Below are 19,467 nucleotides of genomic sequence, written 5' to 3'. Positions count from 1 at the left end.
CGTCTCTACTGAGAATACAAAAATTAGCCGGGTGTGGTGGCACACGCCTGCAGTCCCAGCTACATGGAAAGCTGAGGCAGGAGAAGGGCTTGAACCCGGGAGGCGGAAGTTGCAGTGAACCGAGATCACACCACTGCACTCCAGCCTGGGCAGCAGAGCTAGACTCCTTCAAAAAAAAAAAAAAAATCCCCAAGGACAAACAAAACCACCAAAAACAACTCCTTAGCTTAAGAGATTCTCCCGCCTTGGCCTCACAAAATGCTGAGATTACAAACGTAGGCCACCGCGACCGGCAAGGGCCGATCTTCATATCGTAGCCGCCAACACCTACTTGAGCGCGGCCACAGAGAAGGCCGCTGCGCTTCTTGGAGACGGCTAAGTCATTAGTGATGAACTCACATACCGGAGGGGCCTGGACATCTTGCACTTCACTGCAACTTCGGACTTGCAACCTTTTTCTTTACTTCAGTCTTTGACTTGGGAGATAGACCAGGAGTCACGGCATGTACAGTTTCGGACATGATTGTAGGTTTGGATATCTAACAGTTAAAAAAAAAAAAAGTCAGGCTGCGAGTGTGTCTGTGATTACGTGTGTGTCACACACAGACACGCTGCGCGCTGATTGGTTCCCAGCTCAGTCTTTCAGCTTGGCAGCAACCTAGTCTCAACCCTGTTTCTGAGTTGTGTTTGCGGAAATTCAGAAAATCAAAATAGTTTAAATTTCCTGAGGAGGAATCACACCAATTCTATTCTACAATGAACTGGAACGGCTACGGTGTTATGATCTTTACATTTTCTTTCTCTAGTTTTTACTTAAGGCAGCCTCGGCCTTTATCAAAAGTTCCAACTTTCAGAGATTCACAGTTCAGAGGGACAACTTCTTGATTTTCATTTAAAATATAAATTCTTCCATTCGTGTCTTCAATTGTTTGCTGTCTTCTAATAATAGCCTACACATTTTTGGCTTCTCATACATTGAACAACTACTTGATTTTCATTGAGATTTAACGAGGAAATCTGTTTTATATGAGAAGAGAAACAACAGGTTCTTTTTGAATTTCTCCACAAGAACAGCAGTACGGATACTTAGAACAACAGCCCTTTCTGATAAAATTAGCTGGGGCTGAAAATATTTCATGATAGCTTCTTGTAACTATTTGGACGTTTAGTTACTTTGGGAGGGTTCCAGTAAATGTTCAACGTTTCCTTGGGAAAATGGGAAATACAATGATCACTGATTCTCCTGATATTGGGACTGTTTGCATAGCTGAACTCAGGAGAGATCCACGAAAGGACATAAAAGAGACAGAGTTTGACTCATTTAAGGGTCAAAAAAAAATTTTTTTTTTAAATTTTTACTGGGGGAAATTTGTTATTAAAATATTCATGAGTCTTTGGGTTCAGGGGTCTGTCATGCTTGGTGACACGGGGAAAATAGACTTTGGTAAACTATTCAAGTACCAGGATCAAAGAATATACACACAAGCACCACACACACACAAAATTCCCTAGAGAGAGAAATTTAAAAAACAGCCATGTTTCATATTCAGTACTACATTTCTTGTTTAAACAAGGATATAGGCTTATAGTGATGAAGTACAGCTTATGTTCGATATGAGAAGAAAATGGAGTGATGGCAGAAAGTGAATTAACTGATTTTCTTCACTCCTCAATGTCTTGAACGTATGCTGATCTGGGGAGCATATACATTTCTGTTTTACTAAGACTATGAAGGAGATAAATGCTGGGAACAGACAGAGTAAAGCCCAAAAGGTGAGGGTTTCACACTTTTTGATCTCATCAAAATACAAATGACTTCATGTAGCAAATTAAACTAGGACATGAACAAATTAATAAATGTTAATAAAAATTAAAATCAAATGTTTGAGATGAGACATGAGCTAAATATGAATCACATTTACTTTGAGTGTGTATTCACTTTTTATGGAGCCCATGTATTTCTAATCTTAAAATGGCTTTGACCCATTTTATATTTATATTTTATACTTATATTTGATTTCCTGGAGCACCAACAAAGGAAGAACTGACTTGTAGCCTTCCAACTGCAGGAATTCTCTGAGGTACTGTCCTATTTGCCTTCATGGGTTTGTGAGTTAGTTTCTTACAGGTAACTAAAGTCTCTCCCTTCAGGCCTGTCCTCTTGCCTAAGTATCAAAGTTGGATTTCTGGATGGTTGCTGGATATCTGCTTGTTCATCTTCTATACCAGACTCTCAGTATGACCATCCTTATCTAAGTAGCTTCTGTCTAAGATTGCTGGATATTGGCTTCATTGTTTACGTATATCACACCCTCAACATATCCAACCACATCTAGGAAGCAACCTTTCAAGTGACATTCCTATATATTCTGTTCACAACAACACTATTGCTTTGTTAACTGACACTTCAATTATTCCCTTTCCTTTGTTGCCAAATCCAATCTGTTACTAAGTTTGGTGAATTCTTCCTAAATTCATCTTTCCTTGTTTATTTGCCTTTTCATGGTTGTAATTCTTGCTCTTCTATCTCTTCTTTGGACTGGCTATTTTTATAGCCTTCTTATGGGTGGCTCCTTTCTCTCATCCCTTTGTGCTGTCATTCATTCTCTTCATTGCTCTGGGTGAAATATTCTTCATATGAGCTTCAAATTTATATGCCCCATCTCCTTGTAGCTTTATGTTTTCTTCACTTAACTGGTTTTCTCTATTCTTATAAGCCGTGAAGAAAAAGCTGGATTCATATAGCTTTAGATTTAAGAATAATCTTAGTATGGCAATCAAACTCTTTTATATGGCCTTAAATCAACAATCTGGCAGTGTGGTTTAGTAGAAGCATGGAATTTGCAAACATGATGACATGTATTTCAGTCTTGTTTTGCCCCTTAGCAGCTATGTGATCTTGGTCTAATTATATTACCTTGCAGAGTATCTTTTTTCAGTTTTTTTCTTCTTTTTTTCTCTCTCCCCCACCCTGTTTTAAACTTCAAACTAATCTAATGACATACTTTGAAATTTTTATATTTTTCATTCCCCATCTCTCAAAATAGATGAGATCTCTCTCTGTTTTGAATTCTTACATTGATGTCTTTCTTTTTTTTCTCTTTTTGAGATGGACTCTCACTCCGTTGCCCAGCCTGGAGTGCAGTGGCGTGATCTTGGCTCACTGCAACCTCCGTCTCCCAGGTTCAAGCGATTCTTCTGCCTCAGCCTCCTGAGTAGCTAGGACTACAGGCGCGCGCCACCACGCCCAGCTAATTTTTGTATTTTTAGTAGACACTAGTGACAGGGTTTCACTGTATTGGCCAGGCTGATCTCTAACTCCTGACCCTGTGATGTGCCCGCCTCCGCCTCCCACAGTGCTGCAACTAGAGGCATGAGCCACGGCACCAGGCCCCCTACATCGATTTCGTAAAAGGCCATTATAATCTGTCTCGTATTATCTGCATACTTGTCCACTTTTAAATCTTCCTAGTAGTTTACAAACATCTAAAAGTACAGATTAGTATTATAGTACGGCATACAAATATTTATGTAAAAAAACTTGCAGAAATGCATATAGGGAATTGTGTGGAACCAGAACATAACTCAAGTGTCCTTAACTTTCCATTTCTTTATTTTGCCTTTATGGCTACTCCCCAAATGATTGTTTTCTGCAGCAGTATGCCCTGTGCAGTATTGTTGACATAGTAGTGCTTGACTCTTGTTTTTCATTTTAAACTGAATAACTAGGTGAGACATTATACACCACTGAGGATGCAGATCAATTATAAAATAGGTAACTTGCTCAAGTTTTCACCATTTAGCTCTGAGTGGCCCATACTATGCCTCTCCTTCTAAGAAGGATTTTATTTTATTTATTTACTTATTTATTTATTGAGATGGAGTCTCACTCTGTCGCCCAGGCTGGAGTGCAGTGGTGCAATCTTGGCTCACTGCAACCTCTGCCTTCCGGGTTCAAGTGATTCTTGTGCCTCAGCCTCCCATGTAGCTGGGATTACAAGAGCATGCCACCATGCCCAGCTAATGTTTGTATTTTTAGTAGTGTCAGGGTTTCTCCATGTTACCCAGGCTGCTCTTGAACTGGGCTCAAGTGATCCACCAGCCTTGGCTTCCCAAAGTGCTAGGATTACAGGCGTGAGCCACCGCACCCGGCCAGAATAATATTTATTTATTTATTTATTTTTGAGATGGAATTTCACTCGTCACCCAGGCTGGATTACAGTGACTTAATCTTGTCTCACTATAACTTCTGCCTCCCAGGTTCAAGCAATTCTCTTGCCTCAGTCTCCCAAGTAGCTGGGATTACAGGTATGCACCACCATTCCCAGCTAATTTTTGTATTTTTAGTAGAGACGCGGTTTCACCACGTTGCCAGGCTGGTCTCGACCTCTTGACCTCAGGTGATCCACCCACCTCGGCCTCCCAAAGTGCTGGGATGACAGGCATGAGCCACCATGCCCCGCGCAGAATAGTGGTTTTAAATGCATTAGATAATATATAGGAATGCAAAGTGAAACAATTATATTAGTATGCCATTATCAAATTATAAAAAATCTAAATTGGTGAAATATTAACATATGTGCTTTTAAATTTTTTATTTTATTTACTTACTGATTTTGAGACAGAGTCTCACTGTTGCCCAGGCTGGAGTGCAATGGTACGATCTTGGCTCAGTGCATCCTCTGCTTCTCAGGTTCAAGCGATTAGCTACCCAAGTAGCTGTGCGCCACCATGCCTGATAAATTTTTGCATTTTTAGTAGAGACATGGTTTTGCCATGTTGGCTAGACTGGTCTGGAACTCCTGGCCTCAAGTGATCCTCCCATCTGGGCCTTTCAAAGAGCTGGGAGTTACAGGCATAAGCCATGGCCTGGCATATGTCCTTTTTAAATTAATACATTAAATAATAATCTACCCATATGACTAAGACTTATTATAGTTTTGAAGGATTGAGGTTTTTTTTTGTTTTTTTGTTTTTTTTTTGAGATGGAGTCTTGCTGTTTTGCCCAGGCTGGAGTGCAGTGGCACGATCTCTGCTCACTGCAAGTTCCACCTCCCAGGTTCACGCCATTCTCCTGTCTCAACCTCCTGAGTAGCTGGGACTACAGGTGCCCGCCACCATGTCCGGCTAATTTTTTTGTATTTTTAGTAGAGATGGGGTTTCACTGTGTTAGCCAGGATTGTCTCCATCTCCTGACCTCGTGATCCTCCCGCCTTTGCCTCCCAAAGTGCTGGGATTACAGGCGTGAGCCACTGCACCCGGCTTTAGGATTGAGATTTTTAAATGAAATTTCGAGATATTGGCAATGAGAATGTGATATAAATAGAAGCACTTGTCCTGCCAATTACACTGTTTGTTGCCTGAGTTCATACACAGAAAAAATGCTGTTTCTGTTGGAGAATAGTAAAAAGAAAAAAAAAAGATTTGACTTTTTTTTTTTCTATACTCATTCCCAGATCCCCTGAAGACTTTCTATGTATCCCAGGCTAAGAACCTTACTCTGCAATCTTTTCCATGTACCATAAACTCAATAAACAGCAAACAGCTGTGATAAACTTGGTTCTTCTCACAAGTCATGAAGGAAAAGCCAAATATTCCACCCAAAGGACCTGGAACTTTTTATGGGGATTAATGATGAGTTAAGTTTTTAATTATTTATTATTTTGAGGAGTTCTCGAAATCAGATTTTAGCAAATTAGAATACTGTCTCTCATCCCTTTAGAAGGGTGAACCTTAAGGATAGGAATTGAAAACACCCACAATATTGTACTATACCATAATTAATGTTTAGTCATTGCTTATTTGGAATCTAGACACTATTCTAAGCATTTTGATAGGATTATCTGTTTCAACTTAACAAATACTTACAAGTTAGATTTTTAAAAATACATTTACAACAAGGAAACTTAGTATAGCTTGCCCAGGGTCACCCCCACAGCATGTATGTCAAGCAGGCTGTCTCTATGATAGTTTGGAGGGATACTATGATGCCAATTTGCTGGAGTAATAGAATATGGTGAATGATGCAGTGCTAGCTACAATCTGTCCATGATTAAAGGCACAATCAAAGCATAAATTTTCATAAATTTCAGCCCAACAAGGTTTTCTTTTACGGGTGTACATAGTCATGTTTTCAATCGGCCCTCGGTGATCTTATCCTAATTTGACCTCTAAATGTGTAACTTTCATATACTTTTAGTTCCCTCAGTAGCACTATCTAGCCTGCATGCCAAAGAGCCCTGCTTGGTTAACTAGGAATGCATAAATCAATAAAAATAATCTCAGAGACAATAAAGATATGAGTTACTTAAAATACTTTGAAAGCACCTTATGGCCCGGCGCGGTGGCTCACGCCTGTAATCCTAGCACTTTGGGAGGCCGAGGCAGGTGGATCACAAGGTCAGGAGTTCGAGACCATCCTGGCCTATGGTGAAACCCCGTCTCTACTAAAAAAATACCAAAATTAGCTGGGCATGGTGGCGGGCGCCTGTAACCCCAGCTACTCGGGAGGCTGAGGCAGGAGAATTGCTTGAATCCGGGAGGCAGAGGATGCAGTGAGCCTAGATCGTGCCACTGCATTCCAGCCTGGGCAACAGAGCAAGAACCCGTCTCAAAAAAAAAAAAAAAAAAAAAAAAAAAAAGCACCCTGTGAGGGAAACAGTACTAATTATTTGATATTCTGGGAAAAGTGGGGGACAATTGTCAGGCTTCTTTGTCGAAAGTTTATGAACTGATGGCTCAGTTAATGGCTGCAAGTATAGTGTGTGTGTATATATATATATATACCTAGCAGTATTTATTAAATCCCAGCTGAGGCTCTTTTGTTGCCTCAGGCCCCTCTTGGTCTCCTCCAGTCTGAGCAAGGGAGAATTGCACAGAAGGGCGGGAACTGACTGTGGTTCCCGCCCCTTCTCATGAGGTTTTCAAACAGGTCCGTCATGCTATTATAAAAGTGCTGCGTGGCTCTGCCAGACGTATTGCGTTACAGATTTAACAGCTGTGGTTTCAAGATGTCTGGCCGCGGTAAGGGCGGAAAGGGTCTAGGTAAGGGTGGCGCCAAGCGTCACCGTAAGGTATTGCGTGACAATATCCAAGGAATCACCAAGCCCGCTATCCGCCGCCTGGCTCGCCGCGGCGGCGTCAAGCGTATTTCTGGCCTCATTTATGAGGAAACTCGCGGAGTGCTGAAAGTTTTCCTGGAAAATGTAATCCGCGATGCTGTCACCTACACGGAACACGCCAAACGCAAGACAGTCACAGCCATGGACGTGGTGTACGCGCTCAAGCGCCAGGGACGCACTCTTTATGGCTTCGGCGGCTGAGCTTACCTCTACAGTACACTACCGCAAAACCAACGGCCCTTTTCAGGGCCACCTATCCACTCAGGAGAAAGAGTAGTAGTCACTGCTAAAAGTGTAGTTTCACGTGTTTAGTAGCTCCGGTTTTCAAGTTAAATGGTCTTATTACGCCTTGGCTTCATATCTTACTGGCCGGTGAGGATAGTGTATTAAAGTTTATTTTCACTCTTGCTGTGTCGCCCATGCTGGAGTAATCAATGGCGCGATCTCGGCAATCTGCAGTCTCCGCCTCCCGGGTTCAAACGATTCTTGTGCCTCAGCCTCTTGCGTAGCTGGGGCAACCGGCTTGCGCCACCAACACCCGGCTAATCTTTGTATTTTTTGCAGCGATGGGTTTTCGCCATGTTTCCCAGGCTGGTCTTGAACTCAAGCTCAAAAGAGATTTCCCTCCTCCGCCTCCGAAAGTGCTGGGATTACAGGCGTGAGCCACCACGCTTGGCCTGTGTTTTCTGTATTTCTGTAAGGAAACATGGCAAACTGCTGCTAACATTCTTCATGGCTATCAGAGAAACAAGGTAGCAAAGACTGTAGCTGCTGGAGAAACAAGGTAGCAAAACCTGTATCTCAGAAGGCAAGTGGTAAAGGCTGATGCTGCCGTGAAGAATAGTGAAAAAAATGGAGGTAGTTACTAGTTCCTACCAAGGCATTGTTATATGAAAGGAAGACAAAATGGCATTCAGATGGTTATTGGTGTGGGGGGATGGGAGGTGTGTTGGAGGCACTTGACTGGCAAATACATTCTTTAAAGAAGAAAGTAGTAATTACCGTGGGAGAAACAACCATGAAAGTACATAAGATTCAACATTTTTTAGTGGAATGGGGAGAGGCCAACTTGTTTGGTTCTGTTCCTCTGAGCTGCCTTCCATCCAGATCTACTGATTTTCTATTGTTGAATTTAAAAGGACTTTTTATTTATGTACCCGTGGCCAATTTAAAGGTATGTTGAACGAGTTCTTTTTTTGTTGTCCTTTTATCTTAAATAGTCTTAGACTTTATTATTAACAGAAGTCATTTTACCTTAAATCATAGATCAGGTTACTGTGGTTGCATGAATGGGTGTTTAAAACCGAGGTTGTCATGATTAAATTCCCACCTTCTTTCCCTTTACACCTCAGGAAATGAGACAAAAATAAGTAAGCCATTCCCTAGTGGGTTACTCCAGTCCTTACAATCGCAGGACTATCAGTATGCCACTGTATTATTCGCTGTCCTCAAAATGGATTTTAATTTGTGGAGAATATTGAGTAAACCCTTATTTTTCCAATAAAGTTTTTTCACTTTATCATAATAAAAAGAAAGCTGGACAGGTGGCTATCTAGCAAGAGACAACATTTCCTGGTCTTTCTGGGAGCAGATGTAAGCATGTGGCTACATTATTTCCAACACAGGTGAGACACATAGAAAAGTTACTACCAGGTCTGGGCTTTGAAACTTCCATGTTACCTTCTTCCCCAAGTATAATGGTATTGATTTCATTTTGAGCAATTAGAGAACATCAGGCCCTAGGAGATGACAGAACATTGACTTGGAAGGAACGAAATTTCCTGATTGATCACAAGGAGCAGAGCTGCTTCACAAAGCTGGACTAATCACAATGGATTTGTTCCATGAAACAAAAATATCTGTCTTTAAGCTTATTTATTGTTGAGTCTCTTTGTAAGCAGCATAACTTTATCACACAAAATTCAGTTTTGTTACTAAACTTATTTAGTATTGTGGAATGTCCTTCCATTGACCTGAAAGCTCTTTACAGAAAAGCTGATGCCAAATGAGCCTGTCGACTTGGTATCACCTCTGTTGGGTTCCATTATAGACAGAACAGAGTGGGGCTGATTACAAGTTAGAGATCAGGCAAGGCACGTGGCTCACGCCTGTAATCCCAGCTCTTTGGGAGGCCAAGGTGTGTGGATCACTTGAGGTCAGGAGTTTGAGACCCGCCTGGCCAACACGGAGAAACCTCGTCTCTAATAAAAATACAAAAATTAGCCGGGCATGCTGGCACATGCTTGTAGTCCTAGCAACTTTGGGGTCACAGAGTGAGACTCTATCTCAAAAAAAAAAAAAGTTATCAATGGGTAGACTAGATAGTCTATATGTCTTCAGCAGTGGTAACCTGTATATTTCAATGGGCTGACTTCCCTTCAAGAGTGGTTCTGCTGGGCACTGTGGCTCTCACCTGTAATCCTGGCACTTTGGGAGGGCAAGGCAGGGGGATCACCTGAGGTTGGGAGTTCGAGAACACCCTGACCAACATGGAGAAACCCTGTCTCTACTAAAAATAAAAAACTAGCTGGGCATAGTGGCACATCCCTGTAACCCCAGTTACTCAGGAGGCTGAGGCAGGAAAATCGCTTGAACCCAGGTGGCAGAGGTTGTGGTGAGCCAAGATCGTGCCATTGCACTCCAGCCTGGGCAACAAGAGCAAAACTCTGTATCAAAAAAAAAAAAAAAAAAAAAAAATAGAGTAGTTTGTAGTAATAGATGGATCAAAAACTCCTTTGAGAATCTGTTGAAAATAGACATATGAACATAGACATTTTATGAGGCTCATTATTCTCAGAAACTCAAGGAACTCCCAGGGCTCCATGGATTCCTGTCAACAACCAGAAGTCTAGGATTTCAGGGTCTGAGATCTAGAGATCCCAAATTTAAAGATAGAGAGGAATCGCAGACATAATACTAAATAATACATTGAACAGGAGTGAGTTACCATTTGCTGAGTGAAATAGACCTATATTCTTCTTCTTCTTCTTCTTTTTTTTTTTTTTTTTGAGATGGAATTTCCCTCTGTCACCCACGCTGGAGTGCAGTGGTGTGATCTTGGCTCACTGCAGTCTCCGCCTCCTGGGTTCAAGCAATTCTCCTATTCTTCTGCCTCAGCTTCCCAAGTAGCTGGGACTACAGGCCTGTGATACTATGCTCAGCTAATTTTTGTATTTTTAATAGAGACAGGGTTTTGCCATGTTGGACAACCTGGTCTTGAAATCTCGACCTCAGATGATCCGCCCTCCTTGGCCTCCGAAAGTGCTGGGATTACAGGCGTGAGCCACCATGCCCAGTCTATCATCTCTCTTCCTTCACTAGGATATGAGCCTCAGAAGGGCAGTCTCTTGTCTATCTTGCTCACTGAAGTATTTCAATGCCTGGCACAGAGGGAATGCAATCAATATTTGATGAAATACTGAATGAAATCCCTTCAACTACTCTCTGATTTGTTTATTGTATCCCCTGCTCCATTACTCCTGCCATTTCTTTGGCTTGAAACTTTATCCTCCTTCAACATCATTTCCCTCCACTGCATCCAGTCTCTTGCCACCAGAAGCATATTCCTAGAACTAGTTATAATTTTGTTAGTCCTTGCTCACAAGCTTTCTATAACCTTATTGTCTGCAAAATAAATCTAAACTTCATTGTTTGACATTCAGACTCTTCACAATCTTCTCCCACATCTTTATCACAAGAAAACTCCACGTGAGCAGGAGGCTTGGTTAGCATATTCTTTATCTCAGCAATCTCCTTTAACAAGCTCTCCAGGTGATTCTGATGCACACTGAAGTCTGAGAACCACTATTCTCAGTGCAGAAGTCCTCAGTACAAAATTCACTGCTTGGCACTTGAATATGAAGGAATGACTATCCATTTTCAACCTACTGGATATTCCTTCCATCCACCTTCGCCTGGAAGCTGCTTGTATCAGGCAGTGCAGATGCCTCCTCCCCAAAAGTCATTTTCCCTCCTTTCTTCCTAATACAACTTTCTTTGTTCCCTGACTTGTTCTCCAGAGAAGGCAGAGTTCCTTCTAGCCTCAGGGATCTGATTAATTTGACTACACCTATCCTAAAGATCACATGCCCCTTATTAATGATTGGATTGGGGATAGGTATATAGTCAGTTTTTGTGATTAGGAGAATCCTTAACAATGGAGACCCAACTTCTCTAAGAACATGATAAAGATGAGATGGGGATTGTCGATCAATGAACAATGTGTGTATGTGTTTGTGTGCGAGCGCGAGTGTGGTTGCACACTGAGAATTGTTCAAGTCTAATTGGTGAAACCAGACAGGTGAGGCGGTAGAGGGAAGAGGGTTTTATTTTTTCCTTTAGAACCTAAAATAAAAATCCAAATTAAGACCTTTTTGAAGTAATTGAGGAAAGGAAAAAAGCAAATTCAACATTAAGAACTACTTGAAAGCAGCAGTCTCCTCTCCTCCTTCCCCACCCCCGCTCCAGCCCCCCATAATATGGGCTTCTTTGGTAAAACCCGTATTTTTAAGGACTCTTGAGAAACGAAGTTTCTCTTCGTAGAGCAAAACTATGAAATTACTATTGCCTCTTAGGTACTATCGAGTGATACCTCATAAAACACGGAAACCAGAGTTTCATAAAGCCACCAGCCCAGACAGTGAGTGCCATTTTAAGTTTTAAAAACATGCCTATTTCAGCTGCAGGAGTTTCTAGTATCTTCACATGTCAGTATATAGCTCCAATTGTGAAAAGGTGAGTGGCTCTGAAAAGAGCCTTTGGGTTTACTAAGGCAGTTGCAGGGACAAGTTTACTTGGAGCTGGTGTACTTGGTAACGGCCTTGGTGCCCTCTGACACAGCGTGCTTGGCCAGCTCCCCGGGAAGCAGCAGGCGCACGGCCGTCTGGATCTCCCTGGAGGTGATGGTCGAGCGCTTGTTGTAATGCGCCAGGCGGGAAGCCTCGCCGGCGATGCGCTCGAAGATGTCGTTGACAAAGGAATTCATGATCCCCATGGCTTTAGAGGAGATGCCGGTGTCGGGGTGGACCTGTTTCAGCACCTTGTACACGTATACGGAGTAGCTCTCCTTGCGGCTGCGCTTGCGCTTCTTGCCGTCCTTCTTCTGCGCCTTGGTCACGGCCTTCTTGGAGCCCTTCTTCGGGGCGGGAGCGGATTTCGCTGGCTCAGGCATGCTATCTTTGCTGTTCTGCAGTTAGGAAAGAAAATGAAATCTACATCTCCTGATCCTCGGAATTTGTAGACAATGTTATGTAAATGAAGATTTAGTTTCTCCAACTCTGATTCGTTATTTTGTCGTGAAGTCTGCATGCAAATGAAGGAGCTTAGGTCTACTCTCCCATTGGTCATATCCTGAGAGCAGTTTTCGAGCACGGGCCACCTAATTAACATTTTATATAACAAGTTCCTACCATTGCAAACAATTCAGATTAGTTTACTTATTTTAAAAACCAGAAGTTGCTCTCTTCTATGCTTTTATATGCCAGGGAGACAAAGCTCCTGGCGCAGTTACGTCTTCGAATTGAAAGGTCGGTTTAAAAGCTCCTGGAAAAGCTATGCCTTGACATTCAGATGTAGATTCTGGAGCAGCAGGAGATACCTGAAGAACGGCAAGCTAGGCGACCGGCGATCACCCACACAATCCGGAGAACAGTGTTTCCCACTTTTTACAGAATGCACAAACACATCGTGAAAATAAAGGGTAGGCAATAAAGCTCCGGAGAAAACAACAACAAAAAAGTAAATAGCATCTCTTGAAGAGAGCTAAGACAGGAAAGACTTTCTTAGCCAAAATGGCTACAGTCCTTAATGGAAAAGCAAGTCACACCTAGTTTAGCCCTACAACGAGGATCAGAAATAAATATTCCGTCTAACTAGTGAAAATATTTTTTAAAAAATTAAAATGAAAGCCTATTTAACAAACAGCTTTACTTTCAAGTTAGTATTATTATCTTTGGCTGAAGCCCGCTGCTTAGCTAACTTCAGTTTAAGAAACTGTTCTTCCTAAATTTGACTGTCCTTTTTAAGCCCCCACTCCTTCACCCCACGCTCCCCAGCCCCCTAGCCCTTCTCCTCTCCTGCCACCATTCCCATTTCCCGGGCCCTAAGTCTCCAGGAATGAAGGTGCTGCGCAAAAAGTATTCCGCTCTGTGGGTTAGCATCTAACAAAAGTGTACTCTGAATTTATTGTGTCTTATCTTTGTTTCACAAAATAATTTGTTTTTCTCACTTCAGTGATGACGAGAAAACCTTAAAATCTGTTTAACATCTTTTTTAATTTTCAATGTAGCTAATGTAGCAGTGTTCAGAATAATAGCTAATGTGCTTTATTTGTATTTATTTAATCAAAAAATCTTGGGCCGGGCGCAGTGGCGCAAGCCTGTAATCCCAGCACTTTGGGAGGCCGAGGCGGGTGGATCACCTGAGGGCAGGAGTTCGAGACCAGCCTGACCAACATGGTGAAACCCCGTCTCTACTAAATACAAAAACTTAGCTGAGTAGGGTGGCACACGCCTGTCATCCCAACTACTTGGGAGGCTGAGGCAGGAGAATCGCTTGAACACGGGAGGTGGGGGTTGCAGTGAGCTGAGACTGCACCGCTGTACTCCAGCCTGGGCAACCAGAGCAAAACTCCTTCTTAAAAAAAAAAAAAAAAAGGGCCGGGCGCGGTGGCTCACGCCTGTAATCCCAGCAGTTTGGGAGGCTGAGGCGGGCGGATCACAAGGTCAGGAGATCGAGACCATCCTGGCTAACACGGTGAAACCCTGTCTCTACGAAAAATACAAAAAATTAGCTGGGCGTGGTGGTGAGCGCCTGTAGTCCCAGCTACTCGGAAGACTGAGGCAGGAGAATGGCGTGAACCTGGGAGGCGGAGCTTGCAGTGTGCCGAGATTGGCACTGCACTACAGCCTGGGCAACAGAGCGAGACTCTGTCTCAAAGAGGGAGAGAGGAAAAAAAAAAAAAGGTCTGGCGTGGTGTCTCACGCCTGTAATCCCAACACTTTGGGAGGCCGAGGCATGCGGATCCCGAGATCAGGAGTTTGAGACCAGCCTGGCCAATATAGTGGAACCCTGTCGCTGCTAAAAATACAAAAATTAGCCGGGCGTGGTGGCGCATGCCTGTAGTCTCAGCTACTTGGGAGGCTGAAGGAGATCCCGGGAGGCCGAGGTTGCAGTGAGCCGAGACCGCACCATTGCACTCCAGCCTACGTGACAGAGCAACAGCAAGACTCCATCTCAAAAAACAAAACAAAACAAACAAACAAAAAAACATGTGATATTACTTTTGTTCTCATTTAACAGAAAGGGAAATTAGAGTACCCAAGTTGCGGCATCCTGCCCCAAACCCCATCGCTTATACTAGGTGTAACCAGAATGATGATTTAGGCAGTCTGGCTTGGATCTAGTCTGTTAGAAAACATCTTCACCTACCTTGGTGGGCTGTGTTGCAAAAAGAGAAAAATGCTTCTTGTTCTTCTTATGTTAAAAGAATGGAAAATGAAGCATTTCTTTAATGACTATAAGAGGTTGTTAGAAATGAAAAAAAAAACCTCTGATGGTATATCTAGTCAGTAGAGAAAAAGGAGAAAGACAAATGAGAGAAAATTTAAACCGTATTAAGGGAAAAGTGGCAGAGGGAGAGAAAAAAGAAACAGACACAATGGAAAGAGAGACAGACGTGAAGAGTAGGATAAAAAGAAAGAAATTCACCTAAAGAGGATGAACTAATACGTTGGAGAGACACAAAATGAACATACACAAAGAAAACCAGAGGGAGAGGAGTCCAGTGATACAATCTGCAACTGCAAGAAGAAACAGAAAGAAAAGTGCAGATGAAGGCCCTTAACTACATCCAAACTACACATATCAGATATTCAACTGACAAGATTGGATTGAGACCCTTAAATGATTTTAATGAGGCAGGTAACATTGCCATTTGTGATTTTTGAAATTCCTGCTAAAGACTAAAATTTCTGCACTTTTATATCTATATGAATAAAAATGGTGATGTGGCACATAAGTAAGAAAAAGATAGGGGAAATTTAAAAAATGACAAAAACTGTAGAGTGGCATTGAGGTTTCCTGTCTCTGATTGAGATCTCAGGAGAGTTTTAAACATTTTTATAGTAAATATTATATCTGCACAAAAGGGTATATGCAACATAAACAAGAATTGTAAAACAAATGGTTGGTACTTAAAAACCCAGTTTAAGAACTAAAATGTCATTAGTAATTAAGTAGGCCCTGTATATAACTCTCCCCAATTCCGTGGGAGAGACAGGAAGAACTTTGAGCTAGGCGAACAGCGATCACTCACACAATCTTATGAACAGTATATCTCACTTTTCACAGAGTACACAAATACATCATCAAAATAAAGGGCAGTTTAAGAACTAGAATGTTGGGCTGGGCGCAGTGGCTCATGCCTATAATTCCCAGCACTTTGGGAGGCCAATGCGGGTGGATCATCTGAGGTCAGGAGTTCGAGACCAGCCTGATCAACATGGTGAAACCCTGTTCCTATTAAAAATACAAAAATTAGCTGGGCATGGTGGCACACATCTATAATCCAGCTACTTGGTTGGCTGAGGTAGGGAGAATCGCTTGAACCTGGGAGATGGAAGCTGCATTGAGCTGAGATTGTGCCATTGGACTCCAGCCTGGGCCACAGAGTGAGGCTATGTCTCAAAAAAAAAAAAAAAACAAAAAACTAGAATGTCATTAGTAATTAACCAGTCCTTGTATAACTCTCCTATATATATGTTTTTTATTTAAAAATTTTTTGGGCCAGACACGTTGGCTCACGCCTATAATCGCAGCACTTTGGGAGGCCAAGGCGGGTGGATCGCTTGAGGCCAGGAGTTTGAGAACAGCCTAGCAAATATGGTGATACCCTGTCTCTACTAAAAATAGCAAGATTAGCCCAGCGTGGTGACACATGCCTGCAATCCCAGCCACTTGGGAGGTTGAGGAAGGAGAATTGCTTGAACCCAGGAGGTGGAGGTTGCAGTGAGCCAAGATTGTGTGCTTCTGCACTCCTACCTGGGAGACAGAGTGAGACCCTGTCTCAAGAAAAAAAAAAAACATTTTTTTTTAGAGAAGGGGATCTCACTATATTGCCCAGGCATCCTCCCATCTTAGCCTCCCCAGTCACTGAAATTATAAGTGTCAGACACCAAGCATGGCCCTACATTTTGTCTTTATCAATCTTATTTTTGTTTTTGCTTGTTTTTTGGTTTTTCTTAGTTTAAATATCTAAGAATGGATCCATAAATTGTAAGTCATTTCATTTTGCCTATTTTTATCTTCACATAAATGGAATCACAAGCTGTATATAATTTTATGATGTTTTTTATCCAAACCAATATTTTTGAGATTCATTCATGTTCATATATGTTACTCCAGTACCATCATTTCATTATTTTAAATAGCTAAATATATAGTAACACTGGTTTACTCAATTTATTATAACAGACCTTCATATTGTGTCTGTCTGGGATTATCGAGGTCATTACTTCTGTGAACTTTCTTGCACATGTTTCCTGGTGTAGATGTGCACACATTTCTCTAGTATATATATAACAAGGTGAGAGGCTGGTTGAAACATTCACATAGAGCTGCTCAGGGTGAAGATACATCTACAGATCTAGAGCTCAAGGCTGAAGCCTGGCATAGAAAAATGGCAGGCCACCCTGCCATCCCTCAACCCTTAATGTCTTTGTAAGGTTTGAATAATTGTCCCTTACCATCATAAATACCGACCATAAAAATATCTGGATGGAGAGAACCATTTTCCATTTCCTATTTCTCACTAGGTAATATTTTTTTTTCAGCTTCCGAGTTCCCTTCCCTGCCCTGCCCTGCCCTGCCCTCCCATCCCTTCCCCTTCCCTTCCGTTTGTGGGTGGCACACGCCTGCAGTAGCTTGATCTCAGCTCACTGCAACCTCTGCCTCCTGTATTCAAGCAATTCTTCTGCCTCGGCCTCCTCAGTAACTGGAGTTGCATGCACATGCCACCATGCCTGGCTAATTTTTATATTTTAGTAGAGATGAGGTTTCACCATGCTAGCCAGGCTGCTCTCGAATTGCTCACCGCAGGTGATCCGCCCACCTTGGCCTCCCAAAGTGCTGGGATTACAGGTGTGAGCCACCACTCTTCGTCGGGCCTGATTAATCTTTTAAAGATATTTTGATTGCTATTGATGATAAGAACTTTAAAAACAAAATCCTATGAATTAAATCTGTTCATTTTTTCCTGGAAATTATGTAGAGATGGATTAGTGAATTTTAATCTTATTAGATTAGTTGCCTTCATTGATAAGATAAATTGCATGAATTTCTTTTTTAAATAATTCAACCAACACACAGATAAAGCATCAGTAATGAAAATTTTCAGTGTTAATTCAGGTAGGATTTGGTTGTTTAAGTTAAAGAAACAAAATGAATGACAACCCTACAGAAATGTTAAGATCGAAGAGGGCTGGAATTTTTGCTTGTTTTGTCCATTGATGTATATCTAGCACTTAGAATAGTGCCTGCCACATAGTACATTCACATAAACATGTGAAAGGTGGCAGAATATTCCAGATTACAATATGCCATTGTGGCATAAGGATTATTTTGAGCTAAAGGGACTTAAAAACAGCAGATGCAAGAAGGATGCTCTTGCAGCAGGACAAGCCGGAGACAAAACCTCTCAGACACCGAGTTGTAAAAGGAAGGGCTTTATTCAGCTGGGAGCATCGGCAAACTACTGCCTTAAAATCCGAGCTCTCTGAGTGCACAATTTCTGTCCCTTTTAAGGACTCACAACACTAAAGATTATACATGAAAGGGTCGTAATTGATTTGAGCAAGCAGGGGTTACGTGACAGGGGCTGCATGTACTGGTGGTCAGAGAGAAACAGAACAGGGCAGGGAGTTTCACAATGTTCTTCTATACAATGTCTGGAATCTATGAATAACATCGGTTTCTAAGTTATGAGTTGATTTTTAACTACTGGGTTTAGGCCAGGCAGGCCCAGGCCTGGTTTCAGGCCTGGCGCCGGGCTGCCTGTCTTTGGTTTTACTTCCTTGTTGTTTTTTCTTAAAACAGGTACTGAGTATAAAACAATATAAAATAATATGAGAGGGTCTTTCTCTTCCTTCACTCTGATCTCCCATTTTTCTTCCTAGGAGATAAAACCTCCCTATAGAAGATGTCCTCCCTGGCTGGGTGCAGTGGCTCATGCCTGTAATCCCAGCACTTTGGGAGACTGAAGCAGGCAAATCATGAGGTCAAGAGATCGAGACAAAAATTAGCTGGGCATGGTGGCGCGTGCCTGTAGTCCCAGCTACTTGGGAGGCTGAGGCAGGAGAATCGCTTGAACCACGCTTGGCTAATTTTAGTCGTTTTAGTAGAGATGGGGTTTCATCATATTGGCCAGGATGGTCTGGATCTCATGACCTTGTGATCTGCCCGCCTCAGCCTCCCAAAGTGCTGGGATTACAGGCCTGAGCCACCATGCCTGACCCATGAGTCTTATTTAAATCACATATGATGAAGGGTGGTTTTTGCAATAAGCCATTTTTGGAACAAAAGAAGGTGGGGAGGATTTTGCTAACCATTGCTGTTTTTTTTATCACAGAGCTCAGATAAAGGTCAATAGGCCATTGAACACTGCCTAAAAAATAGGCAAAATTAAAATGAAAAATAATATCAATATTATCAGTTGCAATCAATGACATATCATTTAAATCTCACTGGGTCCGATGTTTAAAAAAATAAAAATGTAAAAGATTAAATACATTTGGTTTTATTTTAATGTAATCAGAAATTACTGACATATATTATTTAAAGCAATATATGTTGGATATAATGAAAATTGCCTGTCTAGTCATATTTCCTGAATCCCAATTGCTCTTAACTCTTCTGAGGTAGTAATCACTTGATGATGAGCTGAAGGGTGTTACCTGGACCACAGGATCATTACTTTAAAAACAAAATTGGCTACTATGCTTACAAATAAGTAGATTTCTCTGATAGAAATTTTTCCCATAAAAGTTCTCTCCAGCTCCAAGAACAGTGATTTTTTTTCATGTTTACCTACAACAAAACTCAAAAATGATGCAAGATATTAAATTAAATGGAATATATCCAAGGTATTTTGCTATATGGTTGCAATTTCACGGAATTTTATAAGTTTTATTTTGCCTTTCAAAAAAAAAAGTAAATGTCAGTTTTTGAACATGAACAGTATTTTATCTTTTTATGATTTTTTTTAATTGAAGCAAAAATATATGTAATAATGTGCCTTAGAGAGTACTCCTGTTATTTGGGCCTGAAAACAAATCATGCGTGGATTTAAAAA

At 41.7% G+C, this 19,467-nt stretch overlaps 2 protein-coding genes and 1 pseudogene across 2 annotated transcripts, besides 7 other annotated features; 1 reads left to right on the top strand and 2 right to left on the bottom strand.

Annotated features, from left to right (window-relative positions):
• H1-12P (H1.12 linker histone, cluster member, pseudogene) lies at nt 316–521 on the bottom strand (annotated as a pseudogene).
• Nucleotides 421–470: an enhancer, noted in NCBI's record as "active region_24200". NCBI's record gives its function as "activates an Ori minimal core promoter by ATAC-STARR-seq in GM12878 lymphoblastoid cells {active_cell/tissue: GM12878}" and the evidence as "EXISTENCE:reporter gene assay evidence [ECO:0000049][PMID:35858748]".
• Nucleotides 6,787–6,966: an enhancer, noted in NCBI's record as "active region_24199". NCBI's record gives its function as "activates an Ori minimal core promoter by ATAC-STARR-seq in GM12878 lymphoblastoid cells {active_cell/tissue: GM12878}" and the evidence as "EXISTENCE:reporter gene assay evidence [ECO:0000049][PMID:35858748]".
• H4C4 (H4 clustered histone 4) lies at nt 6,975–7,377 on the top strand. Its single transcript, NM_003539.4, has one exon. The coding sequence runs from the start codon at nt 7,011–7,013 to the stop codon at nt 7,320–7,322; it is 312 nt and encodes a 103-aa protein (NP_003530.1). The 5' UTR covers nt 6,975–7,010; the 3' UTR covers nt 7,323–7,377.
• Nucleotides 7,749–8,374: an enhancer, noted in NCBI's record as "NANOG-H3K27ac-H3K4me1 hESC enhancer chr6:26187941-26188566 (GRCh37/hg19 assembly coordinates)". NCBI's record gives its function as "activates a minimal SCP1, AML or CMV promoter by ChIP-STARR-seq in naive H9 embryonic stem cells {active_cell/tissue: H9 hESC(naive)}" and the evidence as "EXISTENCE:reporter gene assay evidence [ECO:0000049][PMID:30033119]".
• H2BC6 (H2B clustered histone 6) lies at nt 11,857–12,326 on the bottom strand. Its single transcript, NM_003523.3, has one exon. The coding sequence runs from the start codon at nt 12,289–12,291 to the stop codon at nt 11,911–11,913; it is 381 nt and encodes a 126-aa protein (NP_003514.2). The 5' UTR covers nt 12,292–12,326; the 3' UTR covers nt 11,857–11,910.
• Nucleotides 12,004–12,063: an enhancer, noted in NCBI's record as "active region_24198". NCBI's record gives its function as "activates an Ori minimal core promoter by ATAC-STARR-seq in GM12878 lymphoblastoid cells {active_cell/tissue: GM12878}" and the evidence as "EXISTENCE:reporter gene assay evidence [ECO:0000049][PMID:35858748]".
• Nucleotides 12,514–12,703: an enhancer, noted in NCBI's record as "active region_24197". NCBI's record gives its function as "activates an Ori minimal core promoter by ATAC-STARR-seq in GM12878 lymphoblastoid cells {active_cell/tissue: GM12878}" and the evidence as "EXISTENCE:reporter gene assay evidence [ECO:0000049][PMID:35858748]".
• Nucleotides 12,514–13,292: a biological region, named in NCBI's record as "OCT4-NANOG-H3K27ac-H3K4me1 hESC enhancer GRCh37_chr6:26183023-26183752".
• Nucleotides 12,563–13,292: an enhancer, noted in NCBI's record as "OCT4-NANOG-H3K27ac-H3K4me1 hESC enhancer chr6:26183023-26183752 (GRCh37/hg19 assembly coordinates)". NCBI's record gives its function as "activates a minimal SCP1, AML or CMV promoter by ChIP-STARR-seq in naive and primed H9 embryonic stem cells {active_cell/tissue: H9 hESC(naive and primed)}" and the evidence as "EXISTENCE:reporter gene assay evidence [ECO:0000049][PMID:30033119]".

This window comes from Homo sapiens, chromosome 6 (genome assembly GCF_000001405.40).
Source record: "Homo sapiens chromosome 6, GRCh38.p14 Primary Assembly".
NCBI lineage: Eukaryota > Metazoa > Chordata > Mammalia > Primates > Hominidae > Homo > Homo sapiens.
This window is presented reverse-complemented; position numbering and strand designations above follow the sequence as displayed.

Excerpts from the sequence above, each read along its gene's own strand:
- H4C4 (NM_003539.4), top strand. The coding sequence starts at position 7,011 with ATGTCTGGCCGCGGTAAGGGCGGAAAGGGTCTAGGTAAGGGTGGCGCC.
- H2BC6 (NM_003523.3), bottom strand. The coding sequence starts at position 12,291 with ATGCCTGAGCCAGCGAAATCCGCTCCCGCCCCGAAGAAGGGCTCCAAG.